At 35.7% G+C, this 17,323-nt stretch overlaps 1 long non-coding RNA gene across 1 annotated transcript in view; it reads right to left on the reverse strand.

Moving 5' to 3' along the window:
- The window catches only part of DSG1-AS1 (DSG1 antisense RNA 1), an 83,621-nt gene extending 76,236 nt beyond the window's left edge, over positions 1 to 7,385 (reverse strand). The window contains exon 1 of the long non-coding RNA NR_110788.1: positions 7,230 to 7,385. This is a non-coding gene — a long non-coding RNA (DSG1 antisense RNA 1). The remainder of the gene's footprint in view (positions 1 to 7,229) is intronic.
- Between the last annotated feature and the right edge of the window lie 9,938 nt (positions 7,386 to 17,323).

Raw genomic sequence — 17,323 nt, forward strand, 5'->3', positions numbered from 1 at the left:
AAGCCTAGGAAATCCTTTAGGTCACCACTGAGGTGAGCAGGTCCGTGATGTTTCTAAAGCGACTCCAATTAATCATCCTACTTGTTAGTCAAAGTATTTGCACATTGAATGCCCTTCCCGTTTTGATCACTTTAAGTGAGGTGTTTGGACTAATTGTAGTTCCTAGAACAGGGCCTGCTTTCTCATACCTCTGTCACGCTGCTCCACCCTAGTTTCTTAATCTGGAGCCCTCTCCACTCCCCTCATCTGTTTAGCTTTTCCTTACTTACTCACCTCAAGCATTGCCACTTCTCAGAAACATTTCTTGTTATCTCTTCCACCACCCCAGCCTGCTGGGGTACTGCTAATAGTCTCTCTTCTATTAGGTTGATATATGATTAGGTATGCTGATGATTCTGACTATTGTTATAGCTAGCTCTCCTTTATTCCCTTCAGAAATTACCACACTACTTCCCTGTGCCTGCTAGCCTGTGAGCCCCTTAAGAATACAGACAATGCATTTCTCTTTCCTGTATCTGTGGTGTTGGAATGTCTAGTATATAGCATGCATTCATTTAATTGTAGAAGTGAAAAATATAGTCAAGTTCTCTCAAGCACCTAAAAGTAAGTGTCTACAGTTCAACAGTGTCGCCTCTAGATAGCAGCCTTCTGAATGATCTCCAAAAAGCTTGTGTCAATGTCACCCTTAAGGAGAAGATGCAAGCATATTAACTAACAGGACAATCACATTTCCGGAGAAATCGATCTTTTGCACAAAGAGTACTAAAATAAAGTCACGGAAAATAACTTCGCGTGCTTTTTGAAAGAAATTGTGGTATAGATGGATAAACTAAATTCTAAAAATGCTACAGAGAAAGTGAAGCTGGGAAATGTAGTTCCACAAAGGCCTTAAAAGTGTGTGATGGTAGAGCAAAATTGACGATTGGTAATTGTCAACCCAGCACAGATACCCAACACAGACAGTTTTTAAAGCAGTGACAGCAGATTTGCTTTTCCTACAGTTAGCCAAACAGACACATTTGAATGTGAATTTAGTGTCAAGAGTTTGTCACTGAATTTTTTCTAGTATACTTTTCTGTAGCTTGATTTTCTCACATTACCATGAACATCATGCTGTGTCGGCACATATTTATCAACCTCATTCATTCGAAAATCTGCATAATATTCATAAATTTGCACCACACTTTTTTAACCATTCTCTTATTACCAGAAAATTAGGTTGATTTCAGTTTTTGCTATTACAAATAATGCTACAATGAATATTTACATATCTAATATAGGCATGATACAGATGTACATATAAGAACAAACACATGGAAGTTGAAATATTTGTATAGGATAGACTCTTTAAAGAGGGAAGCCGTATCAAAGCATATGGACAAATAATTTTTATTGCATTTTCCCAAATTTTTCTGTCAACAAGAATGTCCATTTACACTTCTGCCAGCTGTTCTTGACAGGGCTTGCTTAGCCATAGACCTAATAATAATTGATGTTATCAGCTTTTTAATGTTTAATAATCTAATAAAAATTATAATTATTTGATATTACTCATCATTATACAGAATTTGGCATTCAGTAAATATTAGTTGACAATAAAAGAATAAATTAATCAATCAATATTTTAAATTACCATATATACTTAAATACATTTCTAGTCTCTCTTCTATTAGATTGATATATTATTGGGTATGCTGATAATTCTGACCATTGTTACAGCTGTAGTATACTGTTTTCAGTGTGTTTACTATCTGACAGGTACAATCCCCACCCATTGGCTCTTTTTTTATTATTATTATCTTGGCACTTCTAATACATTCAAGTTAAAAAAATTTTGAAGGATATGTTTAGAATTAATTAAAATTAAATTGAATTATACATTAATAACTTTGATATCTTCAAAACTCCAGCATTAATTTGTAACTTTGCCTGTTCCATTATGACATTTACACAGGATAAATGATTTAGAAGAATGTTAAAACTTCTGGAAATTTGCTGATCATTGACAGAGGCCGTTGATAATAAGATTGCTTTCATTATAGCCTTTAGTTGATTAATAGTTTTTCTTTTCTTTTGAAGTTATTTCTTATGTATAAATTCGGTAACAAAAAAAATTATATGACAGGCAGCAAAATAGAGCTCTCAATATTAAGAACCAGATGAAAGTTATTTATTTTAATCATATTTTCCAAAGCAACATAAAAGCCAAATAAATGAATCCTAAACTTTAAACTTACATGTCACATGGAAAAATCCCACTTGCAGAAAGCCAACTTAATATCAGTAAATATGAAATAATTTTCAACTTTATCATAAATTTTGAAATATGTGAATGATTGCTGCAATATTTTAAACATAGACTAAATATCAAATACAGATCATGAAAATTAATTTGCAAAGACAATTTCTTTAAATTCTATTTTAGCTTACTTGAAATAACAGTAGGCTGAAGAAACCCAGTTGATAATGAGAAGGAATTACTGGCAGCAATTTTGCCAATGCTTTTATGGATTAAGAAAGCAAATAAATAAAAAAGATTGTGAGATGTCTTATCATTTTTGAAAATAATAAGGTAAAAATCAATAAAACTATTCAAACAATTATATACATTATTTTATATAAATTATATACATCCATTTATATATTTATATATAAATTTTCATAAATAAAATTATATAAATCCATTTTACAGATAACTATGTGTATTGTCTGGTTACTGAAGTGTTGGCATGCAGGTAGCATGTGCTAGCACAAAGTGTTTGTTCACTAGCTGAACTGTGCATAAGAAAGGTAGTGTCAGGGTGCCAATATATAAAGTAGATAAAGTGAGTTAAATGAAAGGGGAACAAATGAAAATTGAAGACTACCTGTATTTACTGTTGTTGGCATAAAAGATTGACCCTAAGCATCAAGAAAACTTTTCTTAAAAAGCGGACCACAAAATATAAATTAAAACCACAATAAGACAGCATCTCACTCCAGTCAGAATGGCTTTTGTTAAAAAGTCAAAAAATAGCAGATGTTGGGAAGGCTGCATAGAAAAGTGGACACTGATACACTGTTTGTGGGAATGTAAATTCCTCCAGCTACTGTGGAGAGTAGTTAGGAGATTTGTCAAAAAACTAAGAATTGAACTACCATTCCACCCAGCAATCCCATTACTGAGTATATACCCAAAGGAAAATAAATTGCTCTACCAAAAGGACACATGCACCCATATATTCATCATAGCACTATTCACAATAGCAAAAACATGGAATCAACCCATGTGCCCATCAGTGATGGACTGGATAAAGGGAATGTGGTACATATACACCATGGAATACTATGCAGCCATAAAAAGGAAGAAAATCATGTCCTTTGCAGCAAGGTGGATGCAGCTGGAGTGATTACCCTAAGGGAACTAATGCAAAAACAGAAATCCAAGTACCGCATGTTCTCAGTTATAAGTGGGAGCTAAACATTGGGTTCCCATGGACATAAAGATGGGAAAAATAGACATAGGGCTTACTAGAGTGGAGGTGGGTGTGGGACAAGGACTGAAAAACTACCTATCTGGTACTGTGCTCACTACCTGGGTGACAGTCATATCCTAAACCTCAGCATCACGTAATATACCTTTGTAACAAACCTGCACATGTACTCCCTGATTCTAAAATACAACTTTTAAAAAAATGAAAAAAAAAGAGAGAGGGAAACAAAAAAGGACCATACTTTCGTTAGAAATTCACAGAGCTAAGGTTTTCTGAGACTGATAAGATTACCGAGTTAAAAGTAAGAGAGAGGCTGAATGTGTGTTTGATAGGGAGGCAGCAAGTTTGTGTGGTGAGTGATGGTGAGGTGTTGGCACAAAAGTCACCATGCATGCATGTGATCAGAATAAATATTGATTGACTAGGAAGTCTTGTTAAATACACATTATGTATTTAACAAGGAGGCACTGACTGGGTGATGACTTTGATATCAGTGTGGCATGAGCCACCATATGTAGAGAACATGAAACTAGATAGGAATTATTAAAAAAAAAAAAAAGAGTAAAAAACAAGTATTTACTAGTATGTGTCTAGCACTAGGCTAATTGTTTCTCAAAATTTTTCTTATTTAATGCATCTTATGATCTTTCTTTTATAGTTGAAGAAAATTGAAAAGAAAAACTATAAGGAAATCACCGTGAACCAATTCCAGTGCTCATTCATTTATTCATTAAATGTTTTTTGAGCATTTTCATTATTTGCATATGAGCTAAGGGCTAGGTATAGAAACGTGAATTAGGGTCCTTACCATCAAGGACCTCAGTCAGATTCAGGAAGAAGTAAAGGGTTGAAATACAGTATGAGATACAGTTATACAAGGGGGTATGAATGAGTGTTAAGGGAGAAGAGAAGAGGGGCCTAGCATTAATGAGCTGGGAAAGGCTTCCCATAAGAAATGAACTTTGAGCCAAGCCTGGAAGGAACCACAGGAAACAGCCAGATGAAGAAATGAGAAGAGCATTCCAGGCCAATAGGATGGAATTGGAGACAAGGAGAGAAACAGGGAAGATGGAGAAAGACTGGCTCCTCTGACAGCTGGAAGCAGCTGGTAACGCTGAAGAATAAAGGCAGATCATCACAAGACAGGAAGGAGTCAGAAACCTGGAAATCAATGACATGTTAAGGAATTTCCATTTTAATCTGAAAGTTAAATCTGAAAGAGAACCATTGAATATGCCTAAAGGAGAACAGTGAATTTGAAATCGCTCGTGAAGTTTGCCTTGGCATGCATAGGAGGAGAATGAAGCAGTTGATGAGAAGACCAGCAAGGAGTTGTTTCAATGAACCAAGGCAGTGAAGAAATAACATGCGTTCCATCTACACATCTTAACCCTTGGGATAACTGAATAATTAGCTGCCCACATCACAAAATCGTAGTATAATTGTGCATTTCACATCATCAGCAAATGGTGGTAACGAGTGATGCCGGCTATATCCCAAAGGTGGCGCTGTAACCTAAAAGCACGGAGCCCAGGAAATGCCCTGCAAACTCTAAGGGTCTCTCTGTAGGACTATGTGCTGAAGGAGCTGACTCAGACATAGTCCTCCACCTCAAGAAAAATATGCCTTCTACATTTATAAGGAATAGAAATAAAATGAAAAGAAAAACTCAGTGTTAAGATGTCAAGGTTTTTTTTTTTTTTTTGCTCTTAGTGCAGGATGATTATTTTCCCAGTATAAAATTAACATGTGCTCATTGTAGAAAATTTAGAAAATGTAAAAATATAAAAGAAAATGAAAATAATTTCCCATTACCCAGAGACAACAACTAACACCATGATAATTCTCCTCGACTAATGCTAACACAGCTCTACCCTTCAACTGATAGGTAAGGCCTAGAAACCCAAATCTGTGACTGAAATTTAGTCTTTCTCTAATACCCATATTCATTGCATACATTATTTTTTTAGTTGAGATTATCCTATATAAAAGCCTGTACCTGCATTTTACGCTTAATATTCTTCATAAAATAATTAAAGAGATATTTCATCCCATGAAATGACACTGAGGTTTCCTCTACTCCTTTAATATTATAAGTGATTGTGTGATTAATATCTTTGTGCATAGAGCTTAACATGCACTTTACATTATTTCCATTAGAATTGAAGTTTTGGGGTCAATGACTATGCACATGTTTTAAAATCTGTATATTACAACACACTGTTAACAAGACAGTCCTTGATGTTAGTGAAGACACCTTATACACCAAAGTACAATAATCATAGCTATAAATTTTTTTATATCTCTGGAGTTCTAGTTTTCCTCCCAGTTCTGAGTCTGTGAGTCCAATAGATATCATTATGAAACTTACATTTGTTTATAAGGATGCCAGCATTATAAAGGCATATTTAAATAGATAACCTCTGCTATCAGGGGTTAGGTTGTGCCAGTTGTTTTTGATGGCCATAAAACTTACTTGGTTTTTGGACTGAAGACAATATAGGCTTTGCTATCTACAATGTGTCCAGCCCCTATCTATATATAGTATAGTCCTAGAACCAAAGTTATAGGACATAATTTTCTAAGAAAGAACCATATTACATCTAACAATTTGAACACTGAAGAACTCTCTCCTCCAAGAAAATAGGCATGAGAAGGCCTGAACCACAATGCCACAACAGAATCTCCCAGGTATTACCTGTGGGCTGATTGATAGAACTCGGAAGACAGCTATCAATAAGTATCCTTAGATTTAAATACACGTTTTAGAGGAAAAAAATATTCCCAGCTTAGTCCTTCAGTGCAAATGAGAACAAGAAAAAAAGAAAAATATATATATTCCCAGCAAAGAGGACATGATCTGACATGATAATGGTGGATCTTATCCTGAGATGGCACTTATTACTTATCTTCATTCCTAATTTCAAACAACTGAAGATTTTTACACTGTCCAGAATACATTACACTATGACTAATCTTTCACAATTTGTGGATTTCATGTACTAGCCTGCTCCTTGTTATTTTCTATTTCCATAGTTTCTATTTCCACCCCTCTCTTTGCCTCCCTTAATTTAGGGAATGTATATGCTCTGCCTCACCTGCACTGTGATGTTGGCAAGAAAGAAGGTACTGTGACAACTGACATTTTAACTCAGATAAAATGTCTTGTTTTATCCCTTGGACAGGATGGAAGACCTGGACATGTGAGGGAACATTCCGTTTATATAGTAATCACTTTCATAACAGTTACAAGCTGGATGCAAACTCCCCCAAACAAATGTCGCAAGCTAATAAGAGTCACTAACTTTTTCTGATGGCTGTTATCTATTCATACAGCAGCATAATCTTCACAGCATGATTAGAATCCTTTACCAAAGACTCAGAATGCCTCCACCAACTACTGAAATCTAGTAGTACTTGAGGACCAAGCCACAGAGCAAGCGCTAAAAAAAAAGTTAACTAGAACCTTACCACTTTTTCACGCACCCCAATTTCATAAAATGTATCAGTAAAAAAAAACAATTATCTAAAGAAAAAAAAAGTAAAGAAAAATTATTTATCACATAGGTAACTTGGTGTCAACTAGGTAACTGATCTATTTTAATTTAGGAAGTTAGTGTCTTCCTTCCTCAATTTTCAGATTTTCTGAGGGGAGGCTCAAAAGGCTCGAGAGGCTCTCTACAAGGAGAAAGCAAGCCAGAGAATCTGAAAAAGTGAGCAATTCGCTAGCAGAATAAGACAGAACAGTACACCTACCCTCTATTAACTCCAGCCTCTCCCAGTCTCTCTCCAAGGCATCAGCTCTTTTCTGCCCTGCATCACAGGCTACCTCCAAAAACAAAGTCCAGAGCATCAGTACGGCACTGGGCTTCCCCGATTCCTCCCTCCACACTCTTCTCTCCCCTAAAGGGCAAAAGGAGGGGATAAAGAGAAAAGACCACAGATAATCTCACTGGCTTGGGAATTATGGTTTCCGTGGAATAAAAAGGAGTGTTCTTTCTCTGAAGATGAGGGTGTGTTCATTTCACTGCATGTTTTGGCAAAGTACTTGTCAAGCATCCTTAGCTAAGACAGAAAAGCATGTAGCTTAACAAGAAAAAAGGCTGAGAAATGAAATCTGAAGTTGAAACCACTAAGCTCCATGACAGGCAGACAGATTAGCAGTGACTACTTGAAAGAGAAAACATCCATCAATTTGCCAACAAGAAAATCTGGTCAAAATAAGGAAATGCTTTCTCGTGAGTCCTGAAATTTGAAACAATTGGTGACTCTAAGGGTTGGGTGCGTGATTAATAGCAACCATACCTCCTGAATTTTCAGGGCAGGTTCATAATTATTATCACCACCCCTCTCAGGCTTAACTTAAAATCATCTACCTGTTGTCCTCTTATGTATACATTCTTGTTACATTAAATTGAGTTTTAGAAAATACAATCACCGTAATGGGCATTCATTAAATATTTGTCAATTTTGCATAACCAATCAGTCATGTATAATCCTTCACAGCATGAATCGAATTAGTTCCTTTCTTTCTATGCCTGTTGGCACACCCTGATCCAAAATTATACCATTATCTCATCTATCTCTATGTCTCTAGGTCAGACTGTGCTCAGTACATGTTAGGCACTAATACATGCCTATAAAATGAATATTTGTTGAGTTATCCTTCTTCAGTCACTTCTTAACACTTTTACCAAAATCATCTCTTCTATTAGCTGTAGATTATGGGAAAAAATCTATCTTTTAAAAAAAGAAATTATAAAGAGATATGTTTTTAACCTTTCAGGGGTAAAATATTAGATGCTTCAGCTTCTTGCAAACAAGGCTTGCAGCTTTGCATGACTGGATTGAGAATTCTATTCATATTTGGGTCCAATTCTTGCATAAGACACATAAAATCTGTTCTCATTTCTTTTCTTATTTATAAAATTAAAGAATTTGACCAAATCTGTGTTTTTCAAACTGTTAGTCACACCTCCAATGATGGGTCATAAAGTCAATTTAGTATGCCTATCTAGACATTTTTAATGAAATTAAATAAAATATTTAAAAATCAGAATACATCACACAAAGTAAGAGTAAGTATTGCCTTAAAAAATTTGTTTCGTTTCTGTACATGTGTCTGTGTATGTGTGTGTGTACTGGTTGGTGGCATAACTATGTTTTTGACCATGAGTTGTGGTTAAAAGAAATTTGAAAGCCACTAGACTAGTTCATTTTAAGTTTCCTCAGGCTCTCAAATGCTTGAATTCTATGAGTAAGTTGAGAGAGATATAGGAAGGGTTTTAGTGCTAGGAAGAGGGAAACTAGAGCAATAGACACAAGGCAGTATCCCCTGGAGCAGAAAAAATGCTGTGCATGTGAGAGATACCATCAGTACACTCCATATTATTCACATCACAGGAAGATAAGCACTGGGTAGGTCCTTTCTACAGAACACCTCTTCCGGAAAAGCACTGGGAAAATAAGAAAGTCATTAAATCCCTAGATTGCAAGAGAAGAATTTGTAAAAATGAGTACTCAATGATCCTCACCTACTCTAGGCCCATTGTAATCGTTACTAAGGAGAGGCAGTTTATCTACATAGAAAGAAGGCTGTGGTTGTAGGTGCATTATATTTCTTCATTCATTTAAATGAAGCCTAGAAAACCCCACTTTTGACTGTCTTTGCTTTGATCTTCAACTTTTGAAATATAAAACTAGACCGCATCTTGTAGATGTTGATACATGTGCCCCTTATCTACTAGCACTTTGTCCTCAACACTGGCAGGCCATGCAAGGGTAGACCAGTCCCTTATCCCTCTGGACTTCATGGTCATCACCTTCAAAAAGTGAGTTTCTTGGGCAACATAATCTCTGGGTGTTAAATTGCCCAGTTGTCACCTATTCCTATTTAGCAAGATAATCCCTGTTGGATAAAATATCTTTCCTAAATGAGAGGGACCTGAGGATTCCAGGCATTTTGTTCAAGAAGAAATCAGTCCTAAAGGATCCTCTTTGTGAGTAAAGCCACAGGTATGCAATACCCAGAATGTTTTGTAGTCAATTGAGAAAACTGGACAAAGCCCCTTGGACAGCAATGAACAATTGTTCCCTGAGGGACAACTTTTCTAAAAGGAACTCCAGAATTCTTTGGGATTTTGTGTTAACCTCACCTCTTTCCCTGTGCTGCCCTTCTTGATGGGCTGAAAGAGAAGGGGATGCTCACATCTTTGTCAGGACATCCATCCCCCTGATCGATGGATGATGATAGATGATAGATGGATCAGGGGGATGATAGATGGATCAGGCGGTGGTCACGTTTCCCCCCAACACACAGTAGTTTGCTTTTCTTCAAGCTCGTGCACAGCGGATTTGAATTAAATCTAAATGAACATCAAGCAATTTAATTAGCTGATTTTTTAAGAGTGAGAAAAAGTTATTTGGAGACATTTACATTTTTAAGAGAAAATACAAAACACAAAATTTTCCTCTGATAAAAAGATTGATATAAGCTTCAGATCCTCATTCTGCCCAGAGGTAATGAGAAAGAGTGAAAAGGCAAAGGAGGAAGGTAATGGAAAAAACACAGAAAGAGAAGAATAGATAGGCAGAGAGGGAAAAAAATGAAACAGCAGGAAGGAAAAATGAGGGAACAAGAGACAGTAGAAAGCCGGGAAAGAGTAGGCTGGGTCCAGAAAGACAGGAAGAAGGGCACACCCTGAAAGGTGATTAGAAGCCAGCCCCTCCCACCCAGCCCAAGGCAGAGCAGAGGGAGAGTCCGCCTTCTAGAATACAGTCATTTCCTGGTTTGGAGTTGGATGCACTAAATAGCTGCCTCTTCTGATTCCTTAAGTTTCAGACACTGAAACTTGCCCATATACTACTGTCTGAATTGATGTCACTGACCCTGATCTTAAATTTCCTCCCAGGACCCCCCAACTCTATTCTTCTATGTAACCCTCAGAGGATTGATATCTAGCTCATATTTTGCTCAGGCTTTTAATCCACTGAGTTCACTTCAACTCAACAAATATTTATGCATTATCTGCTATGAACAGACTAGGCACTGGGGGTACAAAGAGAATCCCACCCTTGGGGGAATCATAGGCTAACAAGAGAGATTAACTTTTAAGCAAACATTTCCGTATAACCTTCAAGAAAACTACCCAGGTGCTGTGGGCATGCAGACACAGAGCACAGGCTAGTATGCGAGCTCAGAGCTGGGTACCTGGAGAAGACGGATCCTGAGCTTAGTGCTAGGGAAGCAGCTAGGAAAGGGGTGGGGGAGTCCTGTTCCAGCGGTGGTGGGGGGACAACCACCAGCAGTCTGGTATGTCACACACATAAAGAACATAAAGTCATGCCAGGGAAGGACAGGAAATTAGACTGAAAATGTCATTGACCAAGCATTGGAAAACCACGTGTCACTCAAAATAGCTGGAAGTTTATCTTACAGTATTTGGGAAGACATTGAAAAAACTTAGGTAAGGGAAATACATGCTCAGGTTTGCATTCCAGATGTGTATTTTTAGTGCCTGTTTGGTGCTGGCACTGAAAAGACACATCTGAAATGCAAACCTGAACATATGTTTCCCTTACTTAAATTTCCCTTACTTAAACTTACTCTCATTATTTGTGGAGAGTAAGTTTAGATGAAAGGAGGAAATTGGGCTGGTCCAGCTTTCAGTTCTTTATTTCTCAGCCCGTCTAGACCTGTAACAGTCTGGACCTATTGGGTACCACTGAAGGCAGCTGCACAGATAAGCTGCTTTGTCTTTGGACCCTGAAGGGTATTACCAATGAGCTAGTTTAATATCTTTAATATTTGGTGTATTTTTGCAACTGTTGAAATATTTTGGAACTTGTTTCACAGGTTAAATAGACCATCACTTCAGATCTCTAGAATCTCCCTTGGGGTCTTCACTCCCATTTTAACCTGAAGTAATTAGCAGCATTCAGACAAAAAAAAAAAAAAAAAAAAAGGCCAGGTATGGTAGCTCATGCCTGAAATCCCAGCACTTTAAGAGGCCAAGGCAGGAGGAAAGCTTGAGCCAAGGAGTTTGAGATTAGCCTGGGCAACATAGCAAGACCCCATCCAACCTTATTTCAAAAAAAAAAAGGAACAAGTGGGTTAATCATATGTTATGATGCCTTCTGATAACATGCAATATGAAGTATTTAGGATGCATTCTGGACAAAAATATTTAATTAGAATTTGACAAATCTTTAAATATAAGAGTAAAACACAAGGGATTAGAAATCCGAGGATAGAGGAACAAGTTAAACAACATCTCAAGACCAATGCAAAAGTGGAACCTTTTGTTGGATAACTGCTTCAGTTTTTTTCAACAAGTTGATATTAAAAACAATAATTAAATAAAAGGACACTGCTAAAGTAAAAGAAATTTGAGGAAAAAATTGTGTTTCTGAGTCAGATCTTGATTTAGACAAATGAACTATAAAAATCATGTTTTGTTTATTTGAGGAAATTTGAATATGGACTGAGTATTAGAGAAGGTGAATATTTACAGACATTAAGAAGATGAATATTTAATGAGCTCTAAAAGGTAGAGCTCATTCACGCAAAAAGCATGTAACAAAATAGCACTTACAGTAGAATCTTATCTTGGTATAAAAAGACAAATAAATGTGAATAGAAAAGTAACTGGAAGAATTTCAATCAGGAAAGGGAACTAATATTTATTGAGCACGCTGTATGTACTTAAATGTTATGCTAAGTATTTTTTTAACATCACTTGTTTAATTATTTAATTCTCCCAAATACTTCTTGCAAAGAAGATGCAATTTACCCCATTTTACAAACAAGACATGTACTTTAAGATTTTAATAAAAATACTCTCTGGTGGTCAGAATTTGGTGACTTTAATTTCTTTTTGGACTGGGTGTTCTAACTTTCTGCAATGCATATTTACTACTTTTGTAATACTAAAAACGGGTTTTTTTAAATTATGAAGACACTTCTAAATAATACATGGGTCAAAGAAGAAATCTCAAGATAATTTTAAAATGTTTTAAACTAAACAAAAATGAAAACACAACTTATCAAATTTGTGGGATGCAGAGAAAGCAGTGGTTAGAGGAAAATTTATAGCATTAAATTTATACACTAGAAAAACTAAAAATCTAAAATCAACCATTTAAGTTCCACCATTGGAAAGTACAAAAAAAAAGGCAAATTAAATTCAAAGTAAGCAGAAGGAAAGAAATAACAAAACTTAGAGCAGAAATCAATGAAACTGAAACCAAGGAAAACAATAGAGAAAAATCAATGAAACCAAAAGGTGGTGCTTTGAAAAGATCAAAAAATCAATAAAATTCTAGCTAGTCTGAGTAAGAAAAAAAGAGAGATGACACAAATTACTAATATCAGAAATGAAAAAGGGGCATCACTACAGATCCCATGGACATTAAATGCATAGTCAAGAAAATATGAATGACTCTATACCCACAAATTAGATAGTCTAGATGAAATAAACCTATTCTTTGAAAGGCACGATCTGCCAAAACTAACACAAGAAGAAATAGACTGTCTGAATAGGCCTATATCTGTTAAAGAAATTGAATAAATAATTGATAACCTTTCCAAACAGAAAGCAACAGGCTCAGATGGATTCACTGGTGAATTCTATCAATATTTAAGGAATAAATTATACCAATTCTCTAAAGTGGAATACTTCCTAACTCATTCTATGAGGCCAGCATTATCCTATACCAAAACTGGACAAAAATATTGCCAAAAAAAAAAAGAAAACTACAGACCAGTATCTCTCTCATGAACATAGATACAAAAATCCTCAAAAAAAAATTAGCAAATAAAATCCATCAACATATTTTTAAAAATACACCAAAACCAAATGGGATTTATCCCAGTATGCAAAACTGGTTCAACCTTTAGAAGTCAATTAATGTAATCCATCACATCAACAGGCTAAAAAAAAAATCCAACACACATTCATGATTTAAAAAAAAATCTCAGTAAACTAAAAATAGAGGGAAACTGTCTCAACTTGATAAAGAATGTCTACAAAAAACCTACAGCTAACATCGTACTTAATAAGAAACTCTAAGATTTTCTCAGTAAGATCAGAAAAAAGGCAAGAATGTTTCCTCTTGCCACTCCTTTTTAACATCATACTGCACTAGTTAATGCAATAAGACAAGACAATGACATAAAAGGAATATAGATTGAGAAGGAAAAAAAACTGTTTTGTCTATGTAAAGAATCTGAAAGAATCAACCAAAAAATTTCTGGAACTAATAAGCAATTACAGGAAGGTTGCAGGATACAAGTTAAAATAAAAAACTCAATTGCTTTCCCATATACCAGCAATGAACAAGTACAATTTGGGGTTTAAAACATGATATCATTTATATTATCATCCTCCAAAATTCAGAACTTAGGTATAAATTTAACAAAATACGTTTAAGATATATCTGAGGAATACTACAAAACTTTGAAAGAAATCAAATAAGAACTAAATAAAATGGAAAGTTATTCCAAGTCCATGGATAGGAAGGCTCAATATTGTCAAGATGACAGTTCTTCCCAACATGTCCTATAGACTTAATGCAATCCCAATCAAAATCCCAGAAAGTTATTTTGTTGATATCAACAAGCTGATTTGAAAGTTTATGTAGAAAGGCCTGGGCACAGTGGCTCACACATGTAATCCCAGCACTTTGGGAGGCTGAGGTGAGGTGGGCAGATGACTTGATGCCAGGAGTTCAAGACCAGCCTGGCCAACATGGCGAAACTCCATCTCTACTCAAAAAAAAAAAAAAAAATTAGCTGGGTGTGGTGGTGCATGCCTCTAATTCCAACTACTTGGGAGGCTAAGGCAGGAGAATCGCTAGAACCCAGGAGGCAGAAGTTACAGTGAGCCAAGATTGTGCCATTGCACTCTAGCCTGGGCAACAGAGTGAGACTACATCTCCAAAAAAAAAAAAAAAATACAAACAAACAAAATAAAGTTTATGCAGAAAGGCAAAAGATCCAGAATAGCCAGTACAATATTAGAGAAGGAAAAAGTTGGAGGACCGGCACTACTTGACTTCAGAACTTGCTATGAACCTTCAGTAATCAAGACAGTGTGATATTGGCTAAAGACTAGCCAATTAAATCAGTGGAACAGAATAGAGAGCCCAGAAATAGACCCACATAAATATAGTCAACTGATCTTTGACAAAAGAGCAACAAAGATGCAATGGAGAAATGATAGTCTTTTCATCAACTAGTGCTGGAACTGGACATCCACATGCAGAGAGGTGAATCTAGACACAAACCATTTTTTTTTTATACTTTAAGTTCTAGGATACATGTGCACAACGTGCAGGTTTGTTACTTATGTATACATGTGCCCTGTTGGTGTGCTGCACCCATTAACTCGTCATTTACGTTAGGTATATCTCCTAATGCTATCCCTCCCCCCTCTCCCCACCCCACAACAGGCCCCGGTGTGTGATGCTCCCCACCCTGTCTCCAAGTGTTCTCATTATTCAATTCCCACCTATGAGTGAGAACATGTGGTGTTTGGTTTTCTGTCCTTGCAATAGTTTGCTCAGAATGATGGTTTCTAGCTTCATCCATGTCCCTACAAAGGACATGAACTCATCCTTTTTTATGCCTGCATAGTATTTCATGGTGTATATGTGCCACATTTTCTTAATCCAGTCTATCACTGATGGACATTTGGATTGGTTCCAAGTCTTTGCTATTGCTAGACCCAAATGTTATACCTTTCACAAATTAACTAAAATGGATCATAGATCTAAAATGTAAAATGCAAAACTATGAAACTTCTAGAAGATAGCATAGGAGAAAACCTAGATGACCTTGAATATGGCAATGATGTTTTAGATCACAAAAGGCATGACCCATAAAGGAAATAATTGGTAAGCCAGATTTCATTAAAATTAAAAATGTCTGCTCTGCGAAGACAATGTCAAGAGAATGAGAAGACAAACCACAGACTGGAAGAAAATATTTGTAAAAGACAAATCTTGATAAAAGACTGTTATTTAAAATATAGAAAGAACTCTTAAAATTTAGCAATAAGAAAACAAAAAACTTGATTTAAAAATCAGCCGAAGACCTTAATAGATAGCTCACCAAAGAAGATACAAAAATAGCAAATAGGTATGCTTCACATGATATGTCATCAGGGAGATGCAAATTAAAACAACAATGAGATAATACTACATATCAATTAAAATAGTCAAAATGCTGACAACACCAAGTGCTGTCAAAGATGTGGAACAACAGAAACTCTTATTCATTTCCGATGCGAATGAAAAATGGTACAATTTCTTCAGAAGACAATTGGCAGTTTCTTAAAAAACTAAACATACTCTTACCATATGATCCAACAATCACACTCCTTAGTATCTACTCAAAGAAGTTGAAAACTTATGTCCACACGAAAACCAGCACATAGATGTTTATGGCAGCTTAATTCATAATTGCAAAACAACTGAGAAGCAATCAAAATATTCTTCAGCAGGTGAATGATAAGTTAACTGGTACAGACAGACAATGGAATATTATTTATCACTAAAAAGAAATGCACTATCAAGCCATAAAAAGACATCTAAGCACTATAAACGCATACTACTAAGTGAAAGAAGCCAATCTGAAAAGGCTACATTCTGTATGATTCCAACTATGTAGTATTATGGAAAAGACAAAACTATGGAGACAGTAAAGGTCAGTGGCTGCTAGGGGTTACAGAGAGAGAGAGGAATAAATTGGCAGAGCACAGAGCATTTTTATGGCAGTGAAAATACTCTGTATGATAGTATAATGGTGTATATGTGTCATTACACATTTGTCCAAATCCACCAAATGTGTAATACCAAGTGTTCCCTAATGGAAACAACGGACTATGGTGATTATGATGTGTCTGTGTAGATTCATTACTGTAACAAATACACCAATCTGGTGGGGGATGTCGATCATCAGGGAGGCTATATATGTGTGGGGGGTTGGGAGTATAGGGGAAATCTTCTGTGCCTTCCTCTCATTTTCACTGTGAATCTAAAAACGTCTCTTAAAAATTTGTCTTTAATTTTTTTAAAAAAAAAACAAGTAACTCATGGCTAAATATTAAGATATTGTAATTCCTTGATTTTTTAAATACAACTTCAAAAATAATGATTAAAATAGTTTAAGAAGAGAATGAACACAAAATACACAAGTACAGTATTTTTTAACTTTTATAAACCCACACCCCTTTTTGATAAACATACAAATCTGTAGTTATATGAAATTCCAATAAATACCATAATTTTTAAAAACCAAAGTCATGGAAGATAAGACTACTTTGTTTTCAGTCTGCAAATAAGGAGACATGAAGACTAAAAACTAAAACTAAAACCTAAAGACTAAAAACTAAAACTAAAAACTAAAATCCTCTGCCACTCTCTGCCAAATTATGAAATGTTCTCTTATGTAGTTATGTCCTTTCAGAGTCATTGGCGTTGCGGGAAAAGTATAAACTCTGAAGTCAAACAGATCTGGTTCAAATATTCACCTACACCACTTACCAGTATGGTGATTTTGAATAAATTACTGGGTTCACCATTTCTGAATGTTTGTTGCCTTGTCTGTAAAATGAGTTAATAATCTATTCCTTACAGGGTATTTGGGAAATTAAATAATTAAATAAATAATATTCTTAAAAATACTTAGCACCACAATTAAGTATATAAAGCATATTCAGTAAACATCATCCCCCTAGCTCACTTGAAATAAAAATGTGTTTGGGTGCTCAATGATCTTTAGACTATAGCCTCACGGGGATTATGGGGACCCCTGGCTTCTAGCTTTTATCTGACTGGCTCCATCTGGA

This window comes from Homo sapiens, chromosome 18, assembly GCF_000001405.40.
Source record: "Homo sapiens chromosome 18, GRCh38.p14 Primary Assembly".
Taxonomy (NCBI): domain Eukaryota; kingdom Metazoa; phylum Chordata; class Mammalia; order Primates; family Hominidae; genus Homo; species Homo sapiens.